This window comes from Homo sapiens, chromosome X (assembly GCF_000001405.40).
Source record: "Homo sapiens chromosome X, GRCh38.p14 Primary Assembly".
NCBI classification, from domain to species: domain Eukaryota; kingdom Metazoa; phylum Chordata; class Mammalia; order Primates; family Hominidae; genus Homo; species Homo sapiens.
The window spans coordinates 101755833-101780958 of NC_000023.11; the positions used below are offsets into that span (position 1 = coordinate 101755833).

Here is a 25126-nt window from a genome sequence, read left to right on the forward strand (position 1 = left end):
ATGGATTTTGGAGACACACAGTCCATTATTACAACTTTGCCAATAACTGTGTGATCTTGCACGTTACTTAATCTTCTAAGCCTCTGTTTTCTTCCTTCCTTTCCTTCTTTCTCCTTCCTTCCCTCCTTCCTTCCTTCCTTCCTTCCTTCCTTCCTCTTTCTCTCTCTTTCTTTCCTTCTTTCTTTCTTTCTTTTCCTTCCTGCCTTCCTGCCTGCCTTCTCTCTCTCTCTTTCCTTTCTTCTCTTTCTTTCCTTCTTTCTTCTTTTTTACATCTAACCAAGGGATAATAATACTACCTATTCTACATGGTGGTAAGGAAGAATCAAAGAGCTAACATATGAAACATTCTTAGCAGGATGACTAGCACACAGTGAGGGTTCAGTAAATTTTAGCTATTGTTAGTATTATTAGTCCTCTCAACCAGGGCCAAAACCAGAGTGAAGCGAATAAAGTACATAGAGCAAACAGTTTAAGGAGACATTCACTTTTGGGATTATGCAAATGCTAATGCTGCACCTGTACAGTCTTGAGTACCTCCATGAGAGAAAGTGCCTCTTTTACACTTGCCTCATCTTAGTCTGTAACAGGATTTCAGCTTGGTGTTTTGGTTTTGCTCACTAGAGAACTCAAGGAACTCTGAGCATCTGCAGTGTGCTTGGCACTGTAATTCCTTTATTATATATTTTACCACATCTATTCATCACTTGTAACTCTGGTGTGGGGAATTGTCACCTCCATTTCATAGATTAGGAGACTAAGGCACAGAGAGATAAGTATCTTGTTTTGGGCCACACATTCACTAAATGGTTAAGAGGTAGGAAGAAGTGTCCTTTTGACTGCCATGTTTCTTTCAGGATATCACAAAACCTCAACTGTAAATCCTGTATTTCTAAACCAGGTAATGTTTTCTTACTGCGTTGATGTGTGAAAAAACTCAAATGCATGCATTTATTTCTAGGAAGATTCTAGTCTTTCCTCTCTTATTCATTAGCTGTCTGATCTTGAGTAAGTAATCGAACCTCTCTGGACTCCATTTTGTCACCTGTAAAAAAAGTGAGTTGAATGTCATTGTCAAGAATTCTCTAAATATTTCACATCCTATAATTCATAATTTAATTCTGCCTTTTACTTTTTTGTCTCTTTCCTCTTGTTAAGTGGACAGAAATGTGCAAAGATGCCCTTAAATACTTCGAGGTGGAACTCTTTTTGAAAGGAACCTCTAAAAATAAAAGAATTCATAAAAATAAGACGATAAGCCATCTATTCTATATAACAGAATGTTATATATGGAGATAAAGTAATACAGGGCATATTTATTAAGAAATGTTCAAGAAACAGGAAATATTGTTTAAGATTATGCCTGACACAAAGTTAAGGAGAGAATCAAACAAAACCTGAGTGTATTAGCTGTGACTATAAAATAATAATCTTGGTGTTCTTGTGAGGGTTCATAAACTGGTTGCGAAGCCAGTTGCTACTATCTTGATCAATAACAATCTCTTTGCACAGGTATGTGACTTTATGGGAATGGGTGTCTCTTTTGAAAAGCAATCCTGGTCTTTGTTTAAAAGTCTGATGTTGGTGAGGAAGGATATAAATATACCCTATAGCCAGGTGCAGTGGTGGGTGCCTGTTATCCCAGCTACTCAGGAGGCTGTGATGTGAGGATCACTTGAGCCCAGAGTTTGGGGCCAGCCTGGGCAACATAGCGAGACCCCATCTCTTTTACAAAATAAAGTAATTCTTATGATTCCATTGTCATTTGAGTATAGAAAAAATTGTCATTGGAGAGTAGGAGGACATCATAGATAAGATTGGGAGGGCAGCTTGATAGTGTCTCTTAAGGCAATGGACATACTTTGTTTTCATGGGGACTTGAGTGAACTCTGGTTGAATATGATGCTTCTGTGGGTTTATTTTGTGGCAAAATGATAACTAAAAACTTTAATTCATGGAGCTTTAAAGCACTTTCACATCTTTCTCATAAAACTGGCACTGGTACCCCGGGGCTTATGAGTCCGTGGCCTGTGCCATTGGCAGTAATTAGCTCCAAGTTGCCTTGTGATTTCACCATACATTAATTTCCTACACTCAAAGATAATATAATATAATATATAATTATATTATATTAATTATATAATATATAATATAATTAATATTAATTAATATACATTATATATTATTATACCTAATAATAATATAATACTTGATTTCTCAAACACTCAATTATAATATATAGCTCATTTTTTTCTCTTGCACAATCCTGGGTGGTTGAGGGGCAGGACAGGTAAAATTTAGGTAGGTGAGATCAGAAAGATGTGAAGGGATTTAACTAAAGTTGTCACGGAATTACTGGGTTAGGTCTTTTACTGGGAGGCAGACAGACCTCCTGACTTAAGTGGTCTCTCCAGAAACCAAAGTACTGGCATTGTTCCTATGAATACCTTGCTTTTTAAGGGAACAAAGGAACAAGGATTCTCTGACATTGACATGTAGAAAGTAAAATAAGAGGACAGGAAAGCACATGAAACATAAGAAGTGCATGCATAATATTATTATTTTTAAAAATCTGCCTCCACCTGCCTAGAAGTTCCTGTGCTCTTAGGAAAACTCTGACTCGAAGCATAAAAATGGTTCCCTTTTCAGAGAGGGCATTGATCATAAAGGGCCACAGGGATTCTACTGTAAGCTCAAAACTGTCCCAGAAATCTATCACTTTGTTCTGGCAGAAAGGGTTCAATGGAAAGCTTATTTTTTATGAGCATTCATTACGTCTGGATCACAATTAGATCTCAATAAATATTGGTTAATTTTATTTGCATTGAACAGAATCTTCAGTAAGGTCTTATGGGTCCTGATCAGCTATATCCAATGACAGTTGTTTTGATAAAGTTGACTACAAAGATTAGCAAAACCATGAATCAGAGAACTGAGCTTGGCAAGAGGAGACAGACAAAAAACAGAGAGAGGAGCTCAACATACAGATGAGCCAGATATTTCACCATGTCACTACTTCATCCCTGAGGAAGTCTTGTAGAAAAAAGTAACACAGCTCAGAGGAAAGTGTCTGTTCCTCAGAATAATTATTTATTGAACGAATGAATGAACAAGGGAGATGCAGACTTGGGAGTCATCACCAGCAAATAAAAGAGAATGTACCCTTTCTATATTTTTCCAGACATGAACATTTTTCAAATATATTTTGGATCATATTATACATACTGTTTCATAATCTATTAATAAGTCACAATGATTACTAGTGTTTCTGCTTGTAGAAATAGATACTTTTCTATTGCAGCAAAGATACAATATTGAGATAATTGCCACCTGTTGGTCAAATGCAGAGCTACATCTCTGACTGTCTTGGAGGAGGCTCCGTAAAGATTTGAGGAGGGAGGGGCCTCTGGCTTGACCCACCAAACAGGGCTTGCTGGAGGCTTGAATGGCACAGGCAGCCCTTCCTGCAGAATCTATTGCTGCTTGGCTTTCTGAGCTTCTGGCAGGAAGTTTCACCCTTATCTCAGATCAAGAGAAAGCTGCCAGTGTGAGTGTCTCTTGAGGGAGTGTGTATCAGTTTTGTGTGAGTGCGTTTGTGCGGATATTTTGTATTTTGGGTCATAGCCTTTTAGACACGTTTGCTTTATACTTACACTTACTCATACATATAAGAGTATTATCAACGACAAATGGGACAGATTATATTATACATAAAGTATGCAATCTGGTTTTTATGCTTAATAGGGAATACCTTTCGAAGCGAGTGTTTCTATAACATCAGTTGTGTGAATCAGATCGTAACAAAATTTTTCCTGTGCTTTGAAAATTTTTATTTTGATTACTTTTCTGAATTGCAAAACGAATACATATTTGTCTTTTAATGATATCAAATCATGCAGAAATGTGTAAGTGGAAAATGAAATTGTGCTTTGTTTACCCTCTCAAGATAAACATTTTTAATGGTGTGCTAATATATTCTACAAATGTTTCTATCCCAATATAATGTACTAGCATATGTAAGTACTTTTATATAAAAGCCCTAAATATGTATATACACGATATAGATGTACACCACTCTATACCTATTCTTCAACAAAGACAATGAGACAACATGTTAATCTGTCCCTTTCCTTTTTCCACTTACGAAATCTTAAAATTTTTGTTTGTATTTCTTTGTTATTGTGTTTGGGTTGTTTTTCATCGGTTTGTTGGGGATTTATATTGCTTTTTATGAAAATTAGAAGTTACTCTGTATCCATCCTCTAGTAGTCAAAAAGAATTTTTTATATGAAAGATGACTGTACAATTAATTGTTCAAACTGACACTTAAAGAATAATTTCAACTGTTATTTTAGATTCGGGGAGTATATGTGTAAGTTTGTTACCTGAGTATATTGTGTGATGCTGAGGTTTGGGGTGTGATGGATCCTGTCACCCAGGTACTGAGCATAGTACCCAGCAGTTAGTTTTTCACCCCTTGTGTCCCTCCCTAACTTCCGCCTTTAGTAGTCCCAATTTAGGTTGGTTCCATGTCTTTGGTATTGTGAACAGTGCTGTGATCAACATATGAGTGCATGTGTCTTTTTGGCAGAAGGATTTATTTTCCTTTGGATGTATACCCAGTAATGGAATTGCTGGGTTGAATGGCAGCTCTGTTTTAAGTTCATAGAGAAACCTCCAAACTGCTTTCCACAGTGGCTGAACTAACGTACATTTCCACCAGCAGTGTATAAGCATTCCCCTTTCTTCACAACCTCACCAGCATCTGCTATTTTGTGACTTTTTAATAATAGCCCCTCTAACTGGTGTGAGATGGTATCTCATTGTGCTTTTGATTTGCATTTCTCTAATAAGTAATGTTGAGCATTTTTTCATATGCTTGTTGGCCACATGCATATCTTCTTTTTAGAAATGTCTGTTCATGTCCTTTACTTTTTGCTTGTTGATTTAAGTTCTTTATAGATACTGGATATTAGGCCTTGTTAGATTCATAGTTTGCAAATATTTTCTCCCATTCTGTAGGTTGTCTATTTACTCTGCTGATAGCTTCTTTTGCGGTGCAGAAGCTCTTTAATTTAATCAGGTCCCATTTGTCAATTTTTGTTTTTGTTGTAATTGCTTTTGAGGACTCAGTCATAAACACTTTCCCAAGGCTGATGTCCAGAATGGCATTTCCTAGGTTGTCTTCCTAAGATTCTTATATTTGAGGTCTTACTTTTAAATCTTTAATCTATTTTTAGTTAATTTTTGTACTAATATATGTTGAGAGGTAGGGGGTCCAGTTTCTTCTGCATATGGCTAGCCAGGCATCCCAGCACAATTTATTGAATAGGGAGCCCTCTCCCCATTGCAACTTTGTCAAAGATCAGATGACTGTGGGTATGTGGTCTTATTTCTGGGTTCTGTATTCCGGTTCATGGTCTATGTGTCTGTTTTTGTAGCAGTACCATGCTATTTTGGTTACTGCAGCCTTATAGTATAGTTTGAAGTCGGGTAGTGTGATGACTCCAGCATTGTTCCTTTTGCTTAGGATTGCTTTGGCTATTTGGGCACTTTGTTCTATATGAGTTTTAGAACAGATTTTTTTTTTTTTAGTTCTGTGAAAAATTAAGAATAGTGTTAAATCTGTAGATTGCTTTGGTCAGTATGGCCACTTTAATGATATTAATTATTCTTTTCTGTGAACATGGGATATTTTTCCATTTTTTTGTGAATTGACACTTTTGAGAGTAAAAGGTGGTCTGTGAAACAACAGACATAAATTGAAACCACATCAAGCCATATGCTCATCTTCTTATATATTATGAACATTAACTCAATGTCTGTAATACACGTGCATCATTTTTTCCCATTTTATATTTCTTTTTATCAGCTTTTGCAATGCAAATGTTTCAAATTTTCATTTTATTATTAAAAGACAATGTGGTTAATTATAAATGTTTGAAGAATACACTAGAGTGGAGTAATTTGCCAGTCTAATGTGAGATAGACACAGAGAGCATTCAAAGCCCATAAGGCCACAAGATGCAGTGAGAAAAGCTTGGGTTTTAGAAAAATTTCAGGCTTAGACTACCTGGTCTGTAATTTAGGATATTAATGACCTAGGTGGTTTGAGCTCTAGGTAAGAATGAAGATAGTAATCTTTACTTTGAATGTTTGTTTTTGGGATTAAAGGAGATGAGATATAAAGTTACCACGATGTAGAATGATTTTCTTGTTCATTTCCATCCAGCAGATCACCTCTCCAGTCTTTTAAAGCCTGAGCTTCTGCCTGAGCCCACTCACCACTTCAGGGATCTGCCAACTCATGTGGCCCTACACCCAGGTCTCTTTGCGCAAAGGGCAGGATTTCAACTCCTCTATCTTCTTCATCACCCAAAGGGATTGTGGAGTGCAGATTTGTGGGTCCACAATAGCAGGGGAGTGGAATCTGACCATTTCTCAAGCCCTGGAAGCCCATCTTCTAAGAAGGAGGCTGCTCAGGGTTTTCTAGGGAGGGTGAGGGATGCAACTGCATTCCTGCCTCTTACCAGATGTGTGACTCTGGAAAATCGATTTATACTCTGTGAGCCTGAACTTCTCCACTGCAAAATGGGAAACAATTGATACTGTCCCCACAGAATTGTGTAGGGAAAATGAGGGAACTTAAGGAAATGTTTGGTGCATAATATAACTTCAGCAAATGTTTGTTCTGCTCACCATGACTCCTCACCACGATAAAAGAGACTTCGACATAAAAGAAAGAGCAGAACTGTCAGAGCATTTGGAAATGTAGCAACAAGAAAGGAAATGTATAGGCATTTACATAATGTATGAATTTGGGTGCCATCTCAGTTGTAGAATGTTATCAGAAGAATTTGGAGAAAGGGAAGACAATATTGTACTATTTCCTTGTATTCTATTGAATTTCTGTCCCTGTTACTTCACTTTCTACTTGAACATCTGAAGAAATAGTTTTCCAGTAAGTTCTGGAAAAAGGAGACAGTACAGGGGAACCAAATATAATAAGGACCATTGGATCTTAGATGAGTCACTTCCTCTGTGCTGGCCTCATCTCTAACACCAAGTCACATGCAATATAACTGGTTAGGGGGTTTGGGCTTTGGGTGCTATTGTTTTCTGGTTGCATGACCTTTAGCAAATTTTTTAACCTCTCTGAGACCCATTTAAAAATATTTCAAATGGCTGTTATAATGGCAACAACATCATTAGGCTGTACTGAAAATTAAGTGAGAACATGCATGTACAGCATTTAGTAAAGTGTCTGGCACTAAGTAATCAATAAATGTTATCATCATGTTCCTTTATTATTGGCTTTTTCAAGACCATCAGAAGAATAATAAAGGGTTTGGGGCTGGGAAGAATGTAGTGTTTCACCTTAGATGACAGGTTCTATTACGCTGCAGCATTAAAAGGGTTCAGTGGTGGTGCAAGAACTGACATACATATTAATGGGACAGAATAGAAAAATAAGAAGCAGAACCAAGTGTACAGAGACATTGAGAATTTCATAAATGTGGCATTTGCTGTTACTTAATAATTCATAGACGCTAAGAATTGATGTTGGGTCATTTTAAACTGTTCACTAACAAAAGAATGGGAAATCTTATTCTCATGCCATATGATATAATGTGAAGCATTAGTACACACCACCACCTATCTATCCAGTATGATTGCAGTTCCATAAAATGGGTATGCAGCTGTACACATATTTGCATGTATGTGTATATTTCTAGTTTCAATGAGATTCAAGAAACTATGAACACTGTTTATCAATGAGAGTATGATTGGAAGTTACTTGTATCTTTTTATACCTGTCTGTACTTTTGATAATATCCTAAATGGGCATGGATTATTTTTACAAACAGAAACAAAGCCTGTAAAAGCTTTTAGTAGCTAGGGAACACAAGGGAGTGTGATAGGTTGGAAAGAGAAAATGTTTTGGGGCTATACATACCTTGTGTTCTCCTCTGGCTTTGCCCATTGCTAGGGGGTGACCAAAAGGTAAGGTACTTAACTCTTCTGATTTCCCATTTTCTTGTTCTAAAGAGGAGGAAAGTAATCCTTTCATTGCAGAGTTCTTGAAGTAATCTGATGGAATTATCAAAATATAGATAAATATGCTGTGCTTTATATTAAACTGTACTGGAGATTCCATCCCAGCTCTTACCCCTACAAGTTTCTTCACCCTCTGAACTTCAGTTTCCTTATCTTGGAATTGGTTATAACATTGATCTTGAAATAGTATGTATATTAGCTGTCCAACACAGTGCCATAATAGGCACAACTCCCCCTATTCCAGGTAACTATTTCCAAGAACATTATATATCCTAGTAATATAAAAGAAAGAGGTGATTTTTTTTTATGACTGGGGGCCTAAGAATTGGTGGTAATTCTTATTTTCTTCAAATAATCTTATTTTTTCCATTTAATTAAGTATTTTATATCCTGAGGAGCCTTGATCCAGCCATTCTGTTCTGAGGAATTTATCTTACAACAAAACATGTTTCAAGAATTTCCTATTTGAAACCATGGTACAACCATGGTGATTGTGCATATATTTTTGGAACTTTTGTAAGATTTTCCATAGGATAAATTCCTGAAAGTAAAAAATTTTAACCAAAACATATGGCATTGCCAAATGCAGATTTAAAATGTTCAATACCAATTTCTAATCCCATGCACAGTGGTGGTATTTCCTTTCCCTGAATTCATCTCATCAGTTAAAAAGGGGCTTAGGCACTTTGACACTGCAATTCCTGTTGCAGAAATTTGTCCTGCAGGACAGTCTGTACAGAGCTATATATTGCAAGGCTTGGAGTTTACCCTGTGGTTGAAGCACAGGGACCAAGGAAAAAAAGTGTTGAAGATCACTGAAGTGAAATAGTTCAAGTGATGAGTCATGCACTCTAGGCTGGATCGGGAAGGAGCGTGCACATTTTAGGGGCCTGATACACTGAAAGGCTCAGGGGTTGGGTTCCATGGTTCTTTCCTCCCCTGTTCTCGTCTCCTCCCACTGGAACTCTGCGCACTCCTCTGTGTCAGGCCCTGGGATTGCTGCTATACACAGTTTTACCTCCCTTAATCCTCACAACATTTTCAGCTCCATTCTCTAGATGAGAAAACTGAGGCTCTGACAGGTATTCATCGAATCTAAGACGCCACACTATTTTAGGGACTACTAGGAAAAGCAAAATTCTGGCTATTATAATGGTAAGACAGCACTAATTTAGGTGTTAAAAGTGAAAAAATATATGCCTCTGAGACACGGGGAAATGTTATAGCTTGTGTAGCTTGCATCTATTACATGAAAAAATTGAGGTTGGAGTCTATTTCCTTCTGGTATCAGATGTTATGCTGTTGCCATAATTTAGGACCACAGTGGTAAATTAGACTTGTACCAATCAGGTAATGCCCTCTTCTCTTATTGTCCTATTGGGTTTTTTATATTTATTGTGTGTTTTATATTTATTTATATACAAACAAAAATAATGTATACATACAAATATAATGTATATACACAAATATTTATATTCATTTCTGATAGCCAGGTGTTAGTTTTTCCCTCCTGTGTAGTGGTTGTGTGACCTTGGGCAAGTCACTGCATATCTATGTGCCACATTATCTCCAGCTTTATTAGGATGGACTCCAACATTAGGATCACTTTAAGCCATTCACATTTTGTAATTTAAAATTTCCACTTGCCTGACATTTAGCCTTCTGTCGCTGTGCGTCCTTCCTGTCGGGGGTTGATTGGGGTCAAGTGGGATGGTGGAGGGTGTTCTCTTTGAAAGATGCCTGCAGTAGCATTGCTAAGTAATGGGACATACCCCTTCATTTTTCATCTTAATAGAATCCACATTGCCATAAGGAATTCTCTTAATGCAGAACGCATACATACCAAAATAAATGGGAAGCGTCCGGATGTTGGAAATAATTCAAACAGCACCTTGTAAAGGGCATGCCTACAAAATATATGGAAGGTTTACTAAAAAGTAGAAAATAAATGGTTTTGGTTGGGCTTTAAAATTCTAGTTGCAAAAAAAAAAAAAAAATGCTGAAGGAGGATGCAAGCAAGGCCAAATTCAGAAAGGCTAAAACTTGAATCTCAGAATTTTGATTTTCATACTATTATTTTAATAATAAAAATATTATGTGTCCTGTTAAATGCCAACAGTACAGACATGTGTAAAGTAAAATGTAAAAGTTTCCCTGTCTGTATGTTCCTAATCTCTCTGGACTGCTAAGTACCACCCTGTGGAATTGACCCGCATATAATATTGTCATTATTGGTTTTTAAATAAAATCTAAATTTCCTGACGTGCATGGACATGGAGCACCACGTTTCTCTTCTGAAAATGTGAGTATTGAGTGGCTAAATGGCTAAAATTAGTTACCTCACAAAATGCAACTTCTTAGAAAGAACGTTATGGGGAAAGACAAATAGGAATGCTTTGAGATACATGTAAGGCTGTTTCTATGTTTGTATTGTGTTAATTATAGAATAATAACAATGTTTGCTGTATGTGCCTCTAACAATACGTGAAATAAGAGTGTAAAGAAAATCTAGAAATATCTATTGCTTGTCAAGACCTTGTGAGATGATACATATCTGCTTCTGCAGGCCTACAGGTAAAAGCACTGGGCTGAGTCAGACTGTTTTTACAAGAACTCCAAATGCAAAACTATTTCTTGCTTATGAAGGTTAAGTGGTGGATCATATTGCCTCTGATCCATATGAAAGCATTTCTACCACTCATAGCAACCATTCAGAGAAAGAAGCTTCACATTGCTTTATAGTCCACCCCTCTGTAGTCTAAGGGGCTTCTAGAATTCCATTCCTGACGAGACTTATATAAAGAACACCCCAACGTTGGAAACGGTTAAGATATTTGAATCTTCTAGAACCTTCCATAGACTGTGTGATGTTTCTTTCTTATTAATATATTATAGATTAGTTGTGATTTCTGGAAATTAATCCTTTGTTCACTGTATTTGTTGCAAATATGTTTTTCCAGTTCGAGGTTTGTCTTTCCATGCCTTTTAAATGTAATGTTTGGATACACAAGGCTTTTTTTGTATATATACATATATATGAAATGGGGTCTCACTATGTTTCCCAGGCTGGCCTCAAGCTCCTGGGTTCAAGTGATCCTCCTGCCTCAGCCTCCAGACTAGCTTGGACAATAGGCACAAGCCACCATGCCTGGCTCAAAGTTTTATATTTTGTTGTAGTTTAAGTATCAGACATTTTCTTTATGGTTTGTATTTCTTTGTGTCCTGATTTAAAAAGTTTTCTTATCCTAAAGTCAAAAACTTAATTCTTATATTTACTTCTATTTGAGTTTGTTTTTCACATTTAAATTTTTAATCCACCTGGGACCAAATTTTGATAGGTATGAGATACAGATGCAATTTTATTTCATTTTTACATATAATATACATATAAACAATTATCCCAATACCACATATTGAATAACCTGTATTTTTTCCCACTGACCTGATCTGCTACCTCTGTCATATGTTGAGGTTCCACATGTTTATGGTTCTGTTTCTAGGCTCTCTCTTTGGTTCTATTGGTTTGTTTATTTATAAGATTGCCAAGCTTGGCACATAAAATACATGCCCATTGTTTATCTGAAATTCCAATTTAACTGGGCTGCCTGTATTTTACCTGGTAAATCTATTCGTCCCTGGGCATATTTCAGACTGTCTTGATTACTATAGCTTTGAATAGGTCTTTATGTCCAATAAAGCAAGTCTCCCTACTCTGTTTTGGACTTCAGAATTATCTTGGCTATTCTTGGCGTTTTTGCTGTTCCAAATATACTTTAGAATCAACTTGTAAATTTTTTAAGACTTCTTTTATGGACCAGTACAATGTCAATTTTTATAAATGAGCCATTTATATAGAATGCTTAAGAATAATTTGATTTCTCTAATTTTCTATGTTAAAATTTTTATTTTTATTTTTGGTGGGTACATAGTAGGTGTATATATTTATGTGGTACATGAGATGTTTTGACACAGGCATGCAATGTGAAGTAAGCACACCATGGAGAATGGGGTAACCATCCCCTCAAGCATTTATCCTTTGTGTTACAAACAATCCAATTAGACGCTTTTAATGATTTTAAAATGCACAATTACGTTATTTACTATAGTCACCCTGTTGTGCTATCAAATAGTAGGTCTTATTCATGCTTTCTAACTATTTTTTTCTACCTATTAACTATCCCCATTCCCCTCCAGGCCCCCACTACCCTTCCCAGACTCTGGTAACCATCCTTCTATTCTCTATGTCCATGAGTTCAACTGAATAGATGTTTGTCTTTCTGTGCCTGGCTTACTTCACTTAACATAATGATCTCCAGTCATGTTGTTGAAAATGACTGACTCGCATTCATTTTATGGCTGAATAGTACTATGTACCACCTTTTTTTTTTTTTTTTTTTTGAGACAGAGTCTCGCTCTGTCGCCCAGGCTGGAGTACAGTGGCATGATCTCAGCTCACTGCAACCTCGGCTTCCCAGGTTCAAGCAATTCTCCCTGCCTCAGCCTCCTGAATAGCTCGAATTACAGGCGCCTGCCACCATGCCCTGCTAATTTCTTTATTTTTTTATTTTTTATTTTTTTTAGTAGAGTCAGGGTTTCACCATGTTGGCCAGGCTGGTCTCAAACTCCTGACCTCAGGTGATCCACCCACCTCGGCCTCTTAAAGTGCTGGTATTACAGGCTTGAGCCACTGTGCCCGGCCAACACCTTTTTTTTTTTTTTTTAAATCTATTCATCTGTTGATGGACATTAGGTTGCTTCCAAATCTTAGCTATTATAAACAGTGCTGTAACAAACATAAGACCGCAGATATCTCTTTGATAATACTGATTTCTTTCCTTTTGGATATATACCCAGCAGCGGGATTGCGGGATCATATGGTAGCTCAATTTTTAGTTTTTTGAGGAACCTCCAGACTGTTTTCCATAGTAGTTTTGCTAATTTACATTCCCAACAACAGTGTACGAGGGTTCCTTTTGCTCCACATCCTCACCAGCATTTGTCACTGCCTGTCCTTTGGATATAAGCCATTTTAACTGGGGTGAGATGTTATCTCATTCTAGTTTTGATTTGCATTTCTCTGATGATCAATGATGTTGAGCACCTTTTCATATGCATGTCTGCCATTTGTATGTCTTCTGTTGAGTACTGTCTATTCAAAGTTTTTGCTTGGTTTTTTATAGGATTATTAGATTTTTTCCTATAGAGTTGTTTGAGTTCCTTATATATTATGGTAATTAATCCCTTGTCAGATGGGTAACTTGCACGTGTTTTCTCCCATTCTGTGGGTTGTTTCTTCACTTTGTTGATTGGATCTGTTGCTGTGCAGAAGCTTTTTAACTTGATGTGATCCCATTTGTCCATTTTTGCTTTAGTTGCCTGTGCTTGAAGGGTATTGCTCAAGAAAGTTTTGCCCGAACAATGTCCTGAAGATTTTCCCCATTTTTTGCAGTAGTTTGATAGTTTGATTAAAGACTTAGATTTAAGTTTTTAATCCATTTTGGTTTGATTTTTGTATATGGCAAGAGATAAAGGTCCAGTTTTATTTTTCTGCATGTGGATATCCAGTTTTCCCAGCACTATTTATTGAAGAGATGTTCTTTTCCCCAGCGTAAGTTCTTGGCACTTTTTGTCGAAAATGAATTCACTGTAGGTGTATGGATTTGTTTCTGGGTTCTCTATTCTGGTTCCTTGGTCTATGTGTCTGTTTTTATGCCAGTACTATGCTGTTTTGGTTACTATAGCTCTGTACTATAATTTGAAGTTAGGTAATGTGATTCCCCCAGATTTGTTCTTTTTGCTTAGGATAGCTTTGGCTATTCTGGTTTTATTGTGATTCTATATAGATTTTGGGATTTTTTTTCAGTGTCTGAGAAGAATGTCATTGGTATTTTGATAGAGATTGCATTGAATCTATAGATTGCTTGGGTAGTGTCATGGTTTGAATATTTGTCCCCACCCAAATATCATGTTAAATTGTGATCCCTAATGTTGGAGGTGGTGCCTGGTGGGAGGTGATCGGATCATAGGGTGGTGTCTCATGAATGGTTTAGCACTATCCTCTTGGTACTGTTCTTCTGATGTTCTCATGAGATCTGGTCATTTAAAAGTGTTTGGCACCTCCCCACTCTCTCTCTTTCCCCTGCTTTGGCCAAGTGAAGTGCCTGCTCCCACTTTACCTTCTGCAGTAATGTTTCCTGAGGCCTCACTAGAAGTTGAGCAGATACCAGCATCATGCTTCCTGTACAGCCTGTGGAACCATGAACCAATTAAGACTCTTTTCTTTATAAATTACCCAGTCTCAGGTATTTCTTTATAGCAAGGTGAGAACAGACTAATGCAGGTAGTATGGACATTTTAACCATATGAATTCTTTCAGTCCATAAATGTGAAATATATTCCCATTTTAGGGGGTCCTTTTCAATTTCTGTCATTAGTGTTTTAGAGTTAATTATAGAGATCTTTCACTTCTTTGGTTAATTCCTAGGTATTTAATTTTATGGGTGGCTACTGTAGGTAGGATTACTTTTTAAATTTCTTTTTCAGATTTGTCAATGTTGGTATATAGAAATGCTACTGATTTTTGTATGTTGATTTTGTATCCTGCAACTTTAGTGAGTTTGTTTATCAGTTTTAATAGTTTCCTTGTGTAATCTTTAGGTTTTTCCAAATATAAGATCATATCAGCGAACAAGCATAATTTGTTTTCTTCCTTTCCAATTTGGATGCCCTTTATATCTTTCACTTGTCTGATTGCTCTAGCTAGGACTTCCAGCACTATGTTGAATAACAGTGGTGTCAGTGGGCATCCTTGTCATGTTCCAGATCTTAGAGGAAAGGCTGTCATGTTTTCCCCATTTGGTATGATACCAGCTGTAAGTCTGTCACATATGGCTTTTATTATTTTGGGGTATGTTCCTTCTATCCCCAGTTTTTGAGGGTTTTTTTTTCTATTATGAAGGGATGTTGAATTTTGTCAAATGCTTTTTCAGCATCAATAGAAATGATCATATGGCTTTTATCCTTCATTCTCTTAATATGATGTCTCACACTGATTGATTTGTGTATCTTGAACCATCTCTGCATCCCAGGGATAAATCCTACTTGGTCATGATGAATGATCTTTCTAATGTATTGTTGAATTCGGTTTGCTAGTATTTTGTTGAGCATTTTTTCACCCATATCCATCAGAGATATTGGCCTGTAGTTTTCTTTTTTGTGTGTCTTTTTCTGGCTTTGGAATCAGGGTAATACTGGCCTCATAGAATTAATTTCAAAGTATTCCTTCCTCCTCTATTTCTCGGAATAGCTTGATTCAGATTGGTATTAGTTGTTCTTTAAATGTTTGTAAAAATTCAGCGGTGAAGCTGTCAGATCCCACACTTTTCTCCACTGGGAGATTTTTTTATTACAGCTTTGATCTCGTTACTTGCTATTGGTATGTTCAGGGTTTGGATTTCTTCCTGTTTCAATTTTGGTAGATTGTGTATGTCCAGGAATTTGTTCATTTCTTCTAGATTTTCCAATTTATTGGTATATTTTTGCTCATAGTAGCCACTAATGATCCTTTAAATTTCTGTGGTATCAGTTGTAATGTCTCCTTTTTCATCTCTGATTTTATTTATTTGGATCTTCTCTCTCTTTTTGTTAGTTAATCTGGCTAATGGTTTGTCAATTTTAACTTTTCAAAAAACTGACTTTTTGTTTCATTGATGTTTTGTGTTTTTTTTTCATTTCAAATCCATTTATTTTTGCTCTGATCTTTATTATTTCTTTTTTCTACTAATTTTGGGTTTGGTTTGCTCTTGCTTTTCTATTTCTTTAAGATGCATCATTAGATTGTTTATTTGAAGTTTTTTTCTCTTTTTTGATGTAGGCACTTATAGCTATAAATTTCCGTCTTAGTATCACTTTTGCTTTATCCCATAGGATATGGTATGTTGTATTTCCATTATCATTTGTTTCAAGAAGTTTTTCAATTTCCTTCTTTATTTCTTCCCTGACCCAATTACTGTCATTCAAGAGAATATTGTTTAATTTCCATGTATTTGTATAGTTTTCCAAATTCCTTGTTTTGAATTTCTAGTTTTATTCTATTGTGGTCAGAGAACATGCTTGATACAATTTCAGGTTTCTGGAATGTTTTAAGACTTGTGTTGTGACCCAACATATGGTCTATCCTTGAGAATGATCCATGTGCTGAGTAAAAGAATGTGTATTCTGTAGCCATTGGATGAAATGTTCTTTAAATATCTATTACATCTATTTGGTCTATAGTGCAGATTAAGTTTGATGTTTCTTTGTTGATTGTCTGGAAGATCTGTCCAATGCTGAAAGTGGGGTGTTGAAGTCTTCAGCTATATTGTATCAGGGCCTTTCTTTTTCTTTAGCTCTAATAATATTTGCTTTATATATCTGGGTGATCCAGTGTTGGGTGCATATACATTTAAAACTGTTATATCCTCTTGCTGAATTGAACATTTTATCATTATATAGTAACCTTCTTTGTCTCTTCTTATAGTTTTTTTTTCTGGAAATCTATTTCGTCTGATGTAAGTATAGTGACTCCTGCTCTTTTTTTCTTTCCATTGGCATAGAATATATTTTTCCATCTCTTTATTTTCAGTCTATGTGTGTCTTTGTAAGTGAAATGTGTTTCTTATGTGCAACAGATCAATGGGTCTTGCATTTTCATCCTTTCAGCCAGACTATGTCTTTTGATTGAAGAGTTTAGGCCATTTACATTCAATGTTATTATTGATAAGTAAGGACTTACTCCTGCCATTTTGTTACTGGTTTTCTGGCTTCTTATGGTCTTCTCTTCCTACACTTTCTTTCCTTCATGTCTTCCTCTAGTGAAGGTAATTTTCTCTGGTGATGTGATTTTGTTTCTTGCTTTTTATTTTTTTCTGTATTCATTGTGTGGTTTTTGATTTGAGGTTCCCATGAGGCTTGCAAATACCTTCTTATAGCCCATTGTTTTAACCTGGTAACAACTTAACACTATTTGCATAAAGAAACAAGCAAAAAGGAAACTAATAAAAATTCCACACTTTAACTTTCTCCTCCTGCTTTTAATCTCTTTGTATCTATTTATATCTTATTTTACTGACTATGTGTTGAAAAGTTATTGTAGTTATTATTTTGGATTGGTTCATCATTTACTCTTTCTACTTAGGATAAAAGTAGTTTACACACCACAATTACAGTATTATAATATTCTGTGTTTTTCTGTGTACTTACTATTACCAGTGAGTTTTATACCTTCAGGTGATTATTACTCATTAATGTCCGTTTCTTTCTGATTGAAGTACTTTCTTTAGCATTTCTTGTAGGACAAGTCTGGTGTTAATGAAACTCTTCAGCTTTAGTTTGTCTGGAAAAGTCTTTATTTCTCTTTCATGTTTAAAGGATATTTTTGCTGGACATATTATTCTAGGATAAAAGTTTTTTTCCTTCAGCACTATAAATATGTCATGCCACTCTCCTGTCCTGTAAGGTTTCCACTGAAAAGTCTGTTGCTAGATGTATTGGACTCCATTGTATGTTATTTGTTTCTTTTCTCTTGGTGCTTTTAGGATCCTTTCTTTATCCTTGATCTTTGGGAGCTTGATTATTAAATGCCTTGAGGTAGTCTTCTTTGGGTTAAATCTGCTTGGTGTTCTACAACCTTCTTGTACTTGAATGTTGATATTTTTATCTAGGTTTGTGAAGTGCTCTGTTATTATTCCTTTTGAATAAATTTTCTACCTCTATCTCTTTCTTTGCCTCCTCTTTAAGGCCACTAACTCTGAGATTTGCCCTTTTGAGTATATTTTCTAGATCATGTAGGTGTGCTTTATTGTTTTTTATTCTTTTCTCTTTTGTCTCCTCTGACTTTGTATTTTCAAATAGGTTGTCTTCAAGCCCACTAGTTCTTACTTCTGTTTGATCCATTCTGCTATTAAAGGATTCTGATGCATTCTTCAGTATGCCAATTGCATTTTTCAGCTTCAGAATTTCTGCTTGATTCCTTTTAATTATTTCAATCTCTTTGTTAAATTTATCTAATAGAATTTTGATTCAATCTCTGTGTTATCTGGAATTTCTTTAAGTTTCTTCAACATAGCTATTTTGAATTCTCTGAAAGGTCACATACCTGTGTTTCTCCAGGTTTGGTTCCTGGGCCTCATTTAGTTTGCTTGATGAGGTCATGTTTTCCTGGATGGTGCTGATGCTAGTAGGTGTTCTTCAGTGTCTAGGCACTGAAGAGTTAGGCATTCATTGTAGTCTTCACTGTCTGGGCTTATTTTTAGCTGTCTTTCTTGGGAAGCATTTCCAGATATTTGAAAAGACTTGAGTGTTGTTAGCTAAGCTATATCTGCTTTAGGGGGCACCCCAAGCCCAGTAACGCTGTGGTTCTTGCAGACTCTTCATGGTACCACCGCGATGGTCTTGGACAAGATCCAGGAGAATTCTCTGGATTACCAGGCAGAGAGTCTTGTTTTCTTCCCTTATTTTTCCCAAACCTATAAAGTCTCTCTCTCTCTCTCTCTCTCTCTCTCTCTCTATTTTGAGCCACCTAAAGCTGGGGGTGGAGTGACACAACACCCATGTGACCACCACTGCTATGACTGTGCTCGGTCAGACCTGAAACCAGCATAGTGCTGAGTTTCACCCAATGCCTACTGTAACCCTTCTCTGACTACTGCTTATGCTCACTCAAGGCCCTGGGGCTCCACAGTTAGCAGGTGGCAAGGCCAGTCAAGCCAATATTCTTCTCTTCAGGGTAGCAAAGGCCCCCAGGCCCTGGGTGGGTCTGCAGGTGCCATCAGGGAGTCAGGGAGTAGGATGAAAAACCTTAGAAGTCTATCTGGTGTTCTATTTTATTGTGGCTGAGCTGGCAGTCAAACCACAAGATGCAGTCCTTGTCACTCTTCTCTTCCTTTTCCAAAGGCAGAGAAACCTCACCCCATAGCCGCTGCTTCTTCTGGTCATGAGGAGTACTGCCAGACTACCAGTGATGTTCCCTTAAGACCCCAAAGCTCTTAAGTCCGCTTGTGGAGAATGCTGCCTGGCCTGGGACTCACCCTTCAGGGCAGTGGGCTCCCCTCTCTCCCAGGAAAGGTCCAAAATACCTTCCCAGAGTAAATTCTTAGAACTGGGGACACCAAGAGCCCTCTTGGTGCTTCACTCCCCTGTAGTCATGCTGGTACCTAAGGTACAAGACAAAGCTCCCTTTACTTTTCCCTCTGCTTTTCTCAAGCAGAAAGAGTTTTGCCCCATAGACACCACAGCTGGTAATGTGCTGAGTCTCACCTGAAGCCAGCTAGTCTCAGAGGCTCACCCAAGGTCCTCAATTTAGTACCTGGGTATTGCTGCTGGTTATTCAGGGCCCAAGGGCTCTTCAGTTAGCAGGTGATGAATGCTGCAAGGACTTGGTCCTTTCCTTCAAGGCAGTGGGTTCTCTTCTGGCCCAGTGTGTGTCTAGAAATGTCATCCAGGACCTAGGGCTTGGAATGGGGGCTTTGTAACTCTGAGCAGTGCCCTATCCTGCTGTGACTGAGCTGGTATCTTAGATGGAAGACAGAGTCCTCACCACTCTTCCTTCTCCTCTTCTAAAGCAGAAGGAAGGAGTCTCTTTTGAAGCCATGAACTGTGAAGCCTGGGGTTAGGGGAGAGGTGATGCCAGCACTCCCTAGGCTGACCCAGCTGGTTTCTCAGTTGGTTGCATGCCCCACCCCCCACCCCCACAGTCCACTGTCTCTGGGCCTAGTTCAGCACTAGGACTTGTCTAAGAGTTGTAGTCCTTATAACCTAGACTGACTTTCAAGTTTACTTGGAGACAGCGCTGTAGCCCTGGGTGGTGAGGTTTGTGGACTCTCCAGTTCAGACTGCTGCGATGGGTGATTCTCACTCTAGCTAGTGTTGATTTAAATGCTCTCTCTGTCAGCTAAGTTTGTCCTGGTTTTCCTTGCTGCTCTAATAGGACAGCACTTATTTGAATGCCTCATAATTGCACACAACTGTATTCTCCCTCCCCCAGCGCCAAGAGATGCTCTCTGCACCACACCACTACTGACCAGGGTTGCGGAAGGGTGGAGTTGGTGATTTTCTATGTCTTCAGTGCCTCTTTCAGTGATATGAATTTAAAACTGCATATTATGAGTGCTCATCTGATTTTTGGTTCTTATGAAAGTGTTTTTCTGTGTAGATTTTAACTTGGTTCCTTGCTCTGGGAATAGTCAGTGGAGCTTTTCTATTCTGCCATCTTGTTCTGCCTCCTTTCTATTGAGTTTTTGAATAGTTGGTGCAGAATAATATGTCCATTAGATCAAGCTTGTTAATTTTGTTTTTCAAGTTTTCCATATCTTTACTTATTTTTTTTTTTGCCTGCTTGATCTATCAATTACTGAGAGAGGAATGTTAAGAACTCTCAGAAATGGTAGATATGTCAATTTCTCTTTGTAATTCGTTGATTTTTGCTCTGTAGGTTTGAAGCTGTGTTAGTAGGAGGCATAAAAGCATATAACTGTGATACTTTCCTGGAGAATTATACCTTTCATCTGTACTGACCTTCATTACCCTTAATAATGCTTTTTGCCTTAAAGACTGTTTTTTTCCTGATAGTAATATAGCTACGCTAAGTTTCTTTTGTTCAGTATTTTGCTGGTATGTCTTTTGCTGTCCCTTTACTTTCAAAATTTCTATGCTGTCATATTTTAGCTATAAATCTTGTTAACTCAGTGTATCTAGAATTGTTTTCCCCTTCTGTGTCATTTCATTTTAGTGGTGTCTCTTGTAAATTGCGTATAACTGAACTTAAAAAAATCAATCAGATATTGTCTTTTTAAAAACTGACTGAGTTAGTTTATACTTAATATGATTTCCTATACATTTGGATTTACTTTTACCATTTTATTTTGTGCTTTCTATTTTTCTACCTTTTCTATGCCCTACTTTTTTTCTGTTTTTCTGGCAGTTTTCAAATTCTTTCAGGCTTTTTTCTCCTCTCAAATCCTTGGTTTAATTCTACTCTTCAGCAAATTATACATTAAGTTACTATTCTTTTAGTCATTATCATTAAGATTTTTTTACAATATACTTATTTTATTTTATTTTATTTTTTTATTTTTATTTATTTATTTTTTAAGAACAAGGGGTCAATTTATTTTAAGTAAATTTGTCATTAAATATCAATGTGTACAATTTCAAACATTTATAAATCTTGCAGTTTATAGAAAAATTAATGTAATCTTAAAATTATTTGAACAGTGGCTTTCACAATTATTTACAATGAACTCAACCTACTTTTGTAGAAACATTTATGTTTAAAAGTACCCCTGCCACAAAGTGATCATTTCACAGTACCTTTCTATAATATTTATGTCACTTAAGTGGTGGCTGCATGAATAAAACCTAGCAGATTCAATAATTCAGAAACAGCACAATCAGAACAGTCAATAAAGCTACCATTAATTCCAAACAAAACAGAACCTTTTATAGTAAGATATAAATGTTTTCCTATTCAGCACTTGTTGAAAAAAATAATTAGGAGGCAATCTTTTCTTCACTGTTTACTGCAAAACAAAGTAATTTTAAGATATTTTTAAAAATTGACGTTAAGAAGCAGGATTAGGTAACTTCTTATAATATGTGACATTAAATATTTTGAGAAATTCTTGGTTTCATTGGAAGGCATTTGTAATGATAAACCTTCTTTCAGTTATAATAAGACACTAAGCAGAGATAATTCTGTCATCCCAGATAGCAATTTCTTATTAACAATTGATAACATTTGAACTGAAAGAGATTCTTGGCTTTATTTCTATATTTTTTTCTACTTAGGTATTTAACTTTTTTGACATCCTCTTATCCCCTCAATAGGATCCAAAATATGTCTACAATTAATTCAAAAGAAAAATAACTATTTGAATTATTGCTTGTGTTTGAAAACAATATTTACTGTAGTATTCCACAGTTTCTTATTTTTTTTAAGCTAAGACAATTAAATAAAAATGTAAGGGATAAGAAATATAGTTGAAGTCACAATAAAGTATATTTCCTTTTATTGACATAAAACATAAATTTTAAATGTTGGCTTGTTAAGAAAAAAATTCTCCTGGTAAATATTATGCATAACCGTTGCCCAAAAATGTATACAGCTGTTTTCCAACATATTTATATACACAGTGGTTCACTTAAGACCAGCCCTGTTAGAACCTTCTGAATATAATGTGCTCTTAATTTATAAATGGGCTACCCTCAGTGTATAAAATATATAGGCATGTATGTTATACATACAAAGTAAAAAATATAAAAAGGAAAGATGGAAGAAAAAAGAAAGTATCCTTTCCTATAAGATCCAGACAGAAAGTCATTATAATTAGTGGGACCATGGAAAACATCTGAAGGATTTCAGTTTTGGCAAATAACTTTTCAGAAAAATATCCAAGCTGTGAGAACACTAAATGTCTATTTTAATAATTTAGTAGAGGTTTCTATTCAAACATTCAGTGAAGATGTTGCTGTCTTCAACTATGTAGAAAAGAAGACTTTTAGGGTGTCTGTTAAAAGCAAAGAGCTGCTGATTTTTAACAGGTTAGTAATAACCTTTTAATCAAGTATATGTCATGCAGAGACTCAAATCCTGGTCCAATAGTGTTTGAGTATGTTCGATGGAAGATTCCAATGGTAAGGATCCGAATTCTTCCTACATCTTAGAGGGAATGGAGCAGGATGTTATGGCAATGGAGGGGGTCAGCCCCAAAGGTAGCTGGCCCAACCTTAACTGTGGATGTTTAAAAAAAAAAAAACACCAAATATTTCTATAGCATTCTTTTTGCTGCATTTTCTTTATTTTAAGCCACAGGTCTACTTGGAGGGTCATGCAGCAAGTGGCTTATAAATAAAATCAAAGTCTATGAATAGTGTCATTGCATTAAGAGACAGAATTGCTGGGTTCTTTCATTATGTAAAAAGCTCACATCTTGGGAATCCATGATTTGGTAGGTTTTATGGAATACCTGAGATGTACCTTGCTCCGATTAACATTACCATGCTACTCACTATAAAAAAGCCCAAGGGCAGACTACAGAAGATACTAGGGTCACCACTTTCTGGAGATTGAGTTGTAACCCAACCCATTGACTTCATCACAGCTTTCTTCCATGTAGAATAACGAATTTCACTTTCCTCAGCATTAATCTGAGGTTCAAACCGCTCCATCGTGACGGCAGACAAATCCTCGGGTTCGAGACTCCATACGCCGACTCCTTCTGCAGCCCCTGCCTCCATAGCAGCACCCAGTGCAGTGGTTTCGGGCATTGAGGGCTTCACTACTGGTATATACAGAATGTCTGCTTGTAGCTGCATAAGAATTTTGTTGCTGGTCATTCCTCCATCTACCTGCAAATGACTGAGTGGAATTCCACAGTCTCGATTCATGGCATCCAAAATCTCTCGAGTTTGGAAACAAACAGCTTCTAATGCAGCAAAAGCAATATGGCATTTATTGGTGAACTGAGTGAGTCCACAGATTATCCCTCTTGTGCTGGGCTCCCAATAAGGTGCATATAACCCCGAAAATGCTGGGACGAAGTAGCAGCCATAAGAAGTACCTACTTCTTTAGCAAGTTTTTCAATTTCTTCTGAGGTCTTTATAATTCCAAGATTGTCTCTTAGCCAGCGAATAACAGCACCAGCTATAGCTACAGAACCTTCCAAAGCATAATATACTGGTTTGTCTCTGCCAAGTTTGTAAGCCACTGTGGTGAGAAGGCCATGATCAGAAAATACACACTTATGGCCTGTATTACACAGTAAGAAACATCCTGTTCCATACGTATTTTTGGCTTGTCCAATCTGGAAGCACATTTGTCCCACCAATGCAGCAGACTGGTCCCCTAAACACCCAGATATTGGCACACCTTCCAAGGCCCCAGCTTTCATTAGGCCATAGATCTCAGAAGAACTCCGGACATTTGGAAGAATTTCCATTGGAATTCCAAAAAATTCGCAGAGTTGTTTATCCCATTCCAAAGAATGAATGTTGAAAAGCATAGTCCTACTTGCATTTGTTACATCTGTACAGTGGACACCTCCATTGACTCCTCCTGTCAAATTCCAAATAAGCCATGAATCAATAGTCCCAAAAAGAGCTCATTTTTCTTCAACGGCCTTTTGAACTTTTCTCACATTGTCAAGGAGCCAACGAAGTTTCACTGCACTGAAGTAAGTGCTAAGTGGAAGGCCTGTCTTGGACTTGACAAAGTTATTATTTCCTGGAATTCTTTTACTAAGACTCTCAACGGTAGACTGGGTTCTTAGATCAAGCCACACCACAGCATTGTAGAGAGGCTCTCCAGTTATCTTGTCCCAGACTACAGTGGTTTCCCTCTGGTTGCTGACACCAATAGCTTTTATGTTGGAAATATCAATATTGAGCTGTCCAAGTTTCTCACATGTTTTCTCTATACACTCATAGACAGAATGTAGAATTTCCTTAGGGTCCTGTTCCACCCATCCTTCTCTTGGGGACTCTTGTTTTATTTCTACTTGATGATGACTAAGTAGTTCAGCTGTTTTTGAATTGAAAACCAAAAAGCTCGTCGAACTGGTGCCCTGGTCCACCGCCCCCACCAATGGCCCCAAAACTGCCTTCTTTGAGGCTGCCACGAAACCAGCTTCAGGTCGGCCGGCGATTGCGGCCGGTTTCCTGGGTGACGGCGGCGGGAGGGGGAGGGGCAGGTGACGAGTCCAGAGATCGAGGCCGCGCGCGTCCGCTGAACCTACTTATTTTATTTTTAAAACCAGAAAGTTTGCACAGAGGGCAAGGGAAATAGCCAAATGTGAACAGTTGCTCTCTTAGCTATTTTTAAGTGTTTCCTGTTGTTTCTGATGGTATTCTCTCAGTGTTTCAGCAGCCTCTTCAACTCAGATCTGGTCTTAAATGTGGTCCATTTCTGCCCCCTCAACTTTGGTTACTGGGATATACTTTACCTACTGTCAGTCTGATTGTTTTTAGGTGTTCAGTTCGATAACTGAAAAATGAATACAATTGGCAACCATGACCATCACAGAGGCATAAACATTT

The 25126-nt window shown here is 37.1% G+C and overlaps 1 pseudogene, besides 2 other annotated features; it reads right to left on the reverse strand.

Moving 5' to 3' along the window:
* Positions 2187–2752: an enhancer, noted in NCBI's record as "OCT4-NANOG hESC enhancer chrX:101012992-101013557 (GRCh37/hg19 assembly coordinates)". NCBI's record gives its function as "activates a minimal SCP1, AML or CMV promoter by ChIP-STARR-seq in primed H9 embryonic stem cells {active_cell/tissue: H9 hESC(primed)}" and the evidence as "EXISTENCE:reporter gene assay evidence [ECO:0000049][PMID:30033119]".
* Positions 3319–3488: a silencer, noted in NCBI's record as "silent region_20917". NCBI's record gives its function as "represses an Ori minimal core promoter by ATAC-STARR-seq in GM12878 lymphoblastoid cells {active_cell/tissue: GM12878}" and the evidence as "EXISTENCE:reporter gene assay evidence [ECO:0000049][PMID:35858748]".
* On the reverse strand, positions 22634–24821 carry GK4P (glycerol kinase 4 pseudogene; annotated as a pseudogene).